General features: G+C 37.8%; 1 protein-coding gene across 1 annotated transcript; it reads left to right on the top strand.

The window, feature by feature from the left end:
* Positions 1–1,013: 1,013 nt before the first annotated feature.
* On the top strand, positions 1,014–2,254 carry CLDN17 (claudin 17). Its single transcript, NM_012131.3, has one exon. The coding sequence runs from the start codon at positions 1,202–1,204 to the stop codon at positions 1,874–1,876; it is 675 nt and encodes a 224-aa protein (NP_036263.1). The 5' UTR covers positions 1,014–1,201; the 3' UTR covers positions 1,877–2,254.
* Positions 2,255–5,974: the final 3,720 nt, after the last annotated feature.

The raw sequence follows: 5,974 nt of genomic DNA, 5'->3' as shown, positions 1-5,974 counted from the left end.
AGTGTTAAATTTCTACTGGGTTTAGTCCCACTTATATGAAAAGATTCGAAAAAGCATCTTTCCTTCCTATTTTTGAATCGGACCAGACAGAGGAGGTAAGCATAGTGAGTTACAGGGCTGGGCTTGTTCCTGGATCAGTTACCACATGGCTTGTCTCAGTCAAACACTTTGCACACCTCCCGTTCATCTGGCAAATAAGGGTCTTAAGTTTGATGGCCTTGAAGATAAACTTCCAGCACTAAATTGTTCTCTAGCGTCTAAATTTTAAGTGACTGCATAGCTTATTTCAAGGGCCACTTTTATATTGTTCCATAAAAATGAAAGGTATGTGTTTGGCTTTAATAAATGTGATCTATTTCAAGCTGCCATTGAAGAAACATTGAATGAAAGTTTCCATATTAAACATTACTTCAATAGAGAGAGAGGTGTTCCTTAACAGCTAATGTAATAATTAACAGTTCATTCAAATTAATTATAAGGAGTACTTCTCTATTTTCTTCTTTTCTGGATCTTAAGAATAAACTATGAAATGTTAATTTCTTGCTTAGGGCTCCTGCTAAGTATCAACAGTTTTCGTGTGTCTTGAAACTAATACCTAAATATTTCTCCCTATTGAGGCATCTTTATTAAAGCCAGAATTGATTACCATCTTAAGGAAAAGTGGCTTACTTACACTAGAATAAAGTAATAAAGTCCAAAATGTTTTTTAATTACTCCCCAATAAACTTACAACATTTTGGCATTGTCTTCAGCTGTGTCTTGACACATGTATTTATACTTTTATATCAGAGTGATTTTTACACAGGAAGTTTCAGCTCTGTAATTAGCAATCCACAATAGAAACTTTGACACTTAATTACAGCATTGCTAAGGCAATAATAATATGAGAAATCCTAAACTTGAATGCAGTATTTCTTGACACACCCCTAGCTACCTTCTTATTGGCTGGGAAACAATTATATATGACTAGTAAATAATCCATACTGAAATGAATGTGTATGAAAAAAGGCAACATGCATTTACAACAGGTACTTCTAGTTAGGCCAAGTTCAGTCACAGCTACTGATTTGGACTAAAACGTTATGGGCAGCAGCCAAGGAGAACATCATCAAAGACTTCTCTAGACTCAAAAGGCTTCCACGTTCTACATCTTGAGCATCTTCTACCACTCCGAATTGAACCAGTCTTCAAAGTAAAGGCAATGGCATTTTATCCCTTGCAAATTGCTGGGCTGGTTCTTGGGTTCCTTGGCATGGTGGGGACTCTTGCCACAACCCTTCTGCCTCAGTGGAGAGTATCAGCTTTTGTTGGCAGCAACATTATTGTCTTTGAGAGGCTCTGGGAAGGGCTCTGGATGAATTGCATCCGACAAGCCAGGGTCCGGTTGCAATGCAAGTTCTATAGCTCCTTGTTGGCTCTCCCGCCTGCCCTGGAAACAGCCCGGGCCCTCATGTGTGTGGCTGTTGCTCTCTCCTTGATCGCCCTGCTTATTGGCATCTGTGGCATGAAGCAGGTCCAGTGCACAGGCTCTAACGAGAGGGCCAAAGCATACCTTCTGGGAACTTCAGGAGTCCTCTTCATCCTGACGGGCATCTTCGTTCTGATTCCGGTGAGCTGGACAGCCAATATAATCATCAGAGATTTCTACAACCCAGCCATCCACATAGGTCAGAAACGAGAGCTGGGAGCAGCACTTTTCCTTGGCTGGGCAAGCGCTGCTGTCCTCTTCATTGGAGGGGGTCTGCTTTGTGGATTTTGCTGCTGCAACAGAAAGAAGCAAGGGTACAGATATCCAGTGCCTGGCTACCGTGTGCCACACACAGATAAGCGAAGAAATACGACAATGCTTAGTAAGACCTCCACCAGTTATGTCTAATGCCTCCTTTTGGCTCCAAGTATGGACTATGGTCAATGTTTTTTATAAAGTCCTGCTAGAAACTGTAAGTATGTGAGGCAGGAGAACTTGCTTTATGTCTAGATTTACATTGATACGAAAGTTTCAATTTGTTACTGGTGGTAGGAATGAAAATGACTTACTTGGACATTCTGACTTCAGGTGTATTAAATGCATTGACTATTGTTGGACCCAATCGCTGCTCCAATTTTCATATTCTAAATTCAAGTATACCCATAATCATTAGCAAGTGTACAATGATGGACTACTTATTACTTTTTGACCATCATGTATTATCTGATAAGAATCTAAAGTTGAAATTGATATTCTATAACAATAAAACATATACCTATTCTAAAATGTAACCTATTATTTTTCCTCTACATTGTTTCTTGTACTACATACTAACAACTAAATGGTGACCTTTTTAAAAAGATTATCATGGAAAATTGTAGATATCAAACAATAATCGTTAGTTGAATTAGACGAAAATGTCCATCTAATGAAAGGCTTTGTTCCTTTAGGAACTCACACAATAAAAATTAGACACTTTAGTGAAAAGAGAGCTCTGATTTCTCTTAGGACAATTAAGAAGACAGATTTTAAGGTCTCTAATTTATACAGTTAAACTTGCCTAGAATTACTGTTTAAAGGAAAATAATTTATAAATGAAAACTAACATTTTTCATAGCCTACCATCTGCACGTCAAGCAAACAGAAGCATCTATCTTGATAAGACACATCAATGGGAGGCTATTAACACTCAATTCTTATCTAGAGGTTATATGGTCCCAAATAGAAAATTGCAGTTTGGGCATTGAAGGGAATGGTTTCTTTTCTTTGTTTTATTCTTTAGTCATTGCACAGGTATAAACATGCTAAGCAATTCGAAGAATCAAGGTAATGATTCAGACAATTAGTCAGGCTAAGATAAATACCTTTTTTGTATTCTCTACTAAACAAATAGGTATGGTGAAGGTTTTTTTGTTTTGCTTGAATTACACACATGATTTTCTCAGTTCTTCATTTCCCATATCAATATCAGGGTTAAAAGTGTGGTGGGTCATGTGGGGTGAGAGTGAGTGGGGAGTGTTTATGAGGCAAGATCACCCCTATGGGTTGCTTCTGAATAGCTTTTAGATCTTGTGAATCAATCAGTGCTTACATGTTCAGTTTTAACTCTTCAAATATTGTGCTTATTTTGTAATAAAAATGTATTTAATTTTGAGTATATAATTGCAATGAGAAGCTTGAATTTGCTCACCAAAAATTTATTGCATCTTCATCCTTATGGTAATAAAATAAAATAGATTACAATGATGTTGATATATTTAGCTGTAGGGTCAATTAGAATAAATTTCTGTCCTCACAAGATCACTTAGTAACTCTGAAACATTAAATCAGGGCTATCTCAAGCCTGGATGTGAATATCCAACCTTCACTCCGTTCTACAAACCACCAGCAAGACGTCAGTAGGTGAAGCCCCTGGTAATATAAAACTGTATTTAAAACACTGGTAATATTAAATGATAAGATCACACAAGTGTAAATATCTTCAAAGATTAGCAATAAAAATAAGAAAAATAGTGATTAAGGTGAATTTTTCCTAAGATTGATTTTTTTAATCAGACTTGATTCAGAAAGGCCTAATATTGGGTATGTTGGAAAAGAGTCATTTTTCTTTTACAGACAAATAAGTTGTCATAGAATCATTTTTCTTACCTTTTAGCTCACCTAGAAGTAATTAGCTTTACAAGAATGGATTCCTCAGCCTAAATGGGGAAGTATGTTATTCTGCTAGCCAGAGGATCAAAGAGTAAAAAGGTATAACACTTGGTGCAATCATAAGATAATATTAGCTATTGAATATGTGTTAACATTTCAGGAACTAAGTTTTTTGTTGCTTGGCCTTCCATTAATCAATGTGTAGCTTTGGAAAGATTATTTTTCCCTGCTCCACTCTGCTGCAGTATTTTTCCAATTACACCAAAAATAAATTTTACTAATTTTCCAGGAATTTAAAGATGCATTAAGAATGCACATTTCTTACTACAAACCCCGGCGTGCATGAAATTTATCTTTATTTTCTAAAATTTAACTGAAGTTCAACTTCTTGAGTACTTCCCCACATATTATACAGTTGTTAGGATCTTATGCAGGGCTAAGCAGTGTTCCATGGTGGTTTCCGGGGTCAGTCCATGGTCATCAGTAACTGCAGGTATCCGAGAAGTTGTCTATTTTATCTGCCCACAGAGTCTTTGTAGGCTTCTTAGCTCCGTCAATTCTGCCATACTTGGCCTTTTTTTTTGAGACTCTTGTTCTGGGCTGCTTGAACCGGTAGATTTCAACCCTGGCTGTATATTAGAATTGCTTGGGGAACTTTGGAAAATACCAATATAGCTGGTGTTGAGATGATCTATGGTACCATTATCCAGAGTCATAGCCAGGAACCTTACCTGCTGACCTGGTTACCAGCTATCCACAAGCAGTGGTAGAGAAAATGGCTACTTCCCAATAAAATGTTTCTAATGTCGCCTCTGTAACCCTTCTTCTCCTTCCCCACTGTCAAAAACCTTGTGCAATTTCATAGAGGTTTTCAGAAGCAAATGCATAGGCTAAAACTCTTCAAGGGTACTTTTGTCTTCCGTTTTTCTACATACTCAGTGAAATTCTTTGCTAATCACCTTCTGGAATGCGGACCAGGGAAAAAGGGAGAATATAAGAAGAGAAAAATAGTTGACATCAGAAAATAGAAAAATAGTTAACATCACAAAATATTATTTAATCACACATGGTTGAAGATGTTTTAAGAGAGTAATACTCCTGCAGTTTACAAATTTAATTAAATGCACACCAATAATCTTTTTCATTTGTAAAAAATCTTGCTATATTTAAAAGCATTTTGTTAAACTGTTTTGATCTTTGTAACCACCATGTGCTGTAGAGAGTGTAGATATCGTTACCAAAACATGCCAAGTAAAAGAATTGAGACATACAAGGTTATCTCACTTGGCCAAAGTCACATAGTTAACATGCAGAAATCAAGAATTCAACAACAGGACTAAGTTGTTATTTAATAATAACTTGAGGAATGATCAAAAAACAGTATACATACAGAGCAATGGTTTGAGGGTTTAACTGCTATGCAACCCCTCTTCCCCCAGAGAAGAGATGAAACTAAGGAATTCAGAAATGTAAAGAAAGTTATTGGCTTTAAGTATAAAAAGCCCAGATTCTTAGGAGATCATGGGCCAAGAATAACATGGTTATCTTTAAGATTAAGAGTATAAAATGATTTCCTTGGATGAAGGTATAATAATAAGGAGCAGAGTTTAGAGGGTCTAGATATCAGTGTGTCCCTGGGAGTAGCCTGGTGGCCACTCCCTAGTCCAGTTCCTGGGGACTGGGGCCCAGGGGAATAATAAACTCTCAGATGGGTTCGAGAATCCAAGGGCAGAAATGATCTGTGTCCTAACTCAGGTGGAGCTGAGGATGTCAACAAAGTATTCCCTGTGACCTCACAGTGCTGGAGGATAAGTGACATCTCTGTGAAGTATTTAGTCTGACAGCCTAAAAGATAATCTTGCCACGTTCCCCGCAGCTGGAATGCCATGGGAGCAGAAGAACATTTCCTACCCATCCGAGAGGGGCACAGAGCATGCCAGACCCAAAAAGGTCTAGTGGCTGGGACTAGATGAGACACAGCAGTCATGCACATGGACAAGCAGCTGGCCCATCCATGTCTGCATGCCTTCAGATCCGCTCCTTCACTCCTCTGTCTAATCTGTATCCTGTGGAGGTTGATGCTCACGGCTGGGCAGTGTGTGCCAAGAGCTTGTGGTAAGAGTAGTCCTCCCCAGGTACAGGCAATAGGAGGGGGCTCTCTCTGTAAATAATAGAAAAGCAATAATAAAACCTACTAAATATTGGTCTGTTCTTTATTATCTTCACATGCTTACCTTTCTAATTAATGTTAGTGATAAAACACCACATCAAAACAAACAAAAAAATGTAATTTCTTGATGTAAGTTCTGAACAATCATTGTGATTACTCTTCAGAGAGGTAGGTAGTGTTATGGG

Source organism: Homo sapiens, chromosome 21, assembly GCF_000001405.40.
Source record: "Homo sapiens chromosome 21, GRCh38.p14 Primary Assembly".
NCBI classification, from domain to species: domain Eukaryota; kingdom Metazoa; phylum Chordata; class Mammalia; order Primates; family Hominidae; genus Homo; species Homo sapiens.
Note: the sequence above shows the minus strand (reverse complement) of the source record. Positions and strands in the feature narration are given on the sequence as shown.

Excerpts from the sequence above, each read along its gene's own strand:
- CLDN17 (NM_012131.3), top strand. The coding sequence starts at position 1,202 with ATGGCATTTTATCCCTTGCAAATTGCTGGGCTGGTTCTTGGGTTCCTT.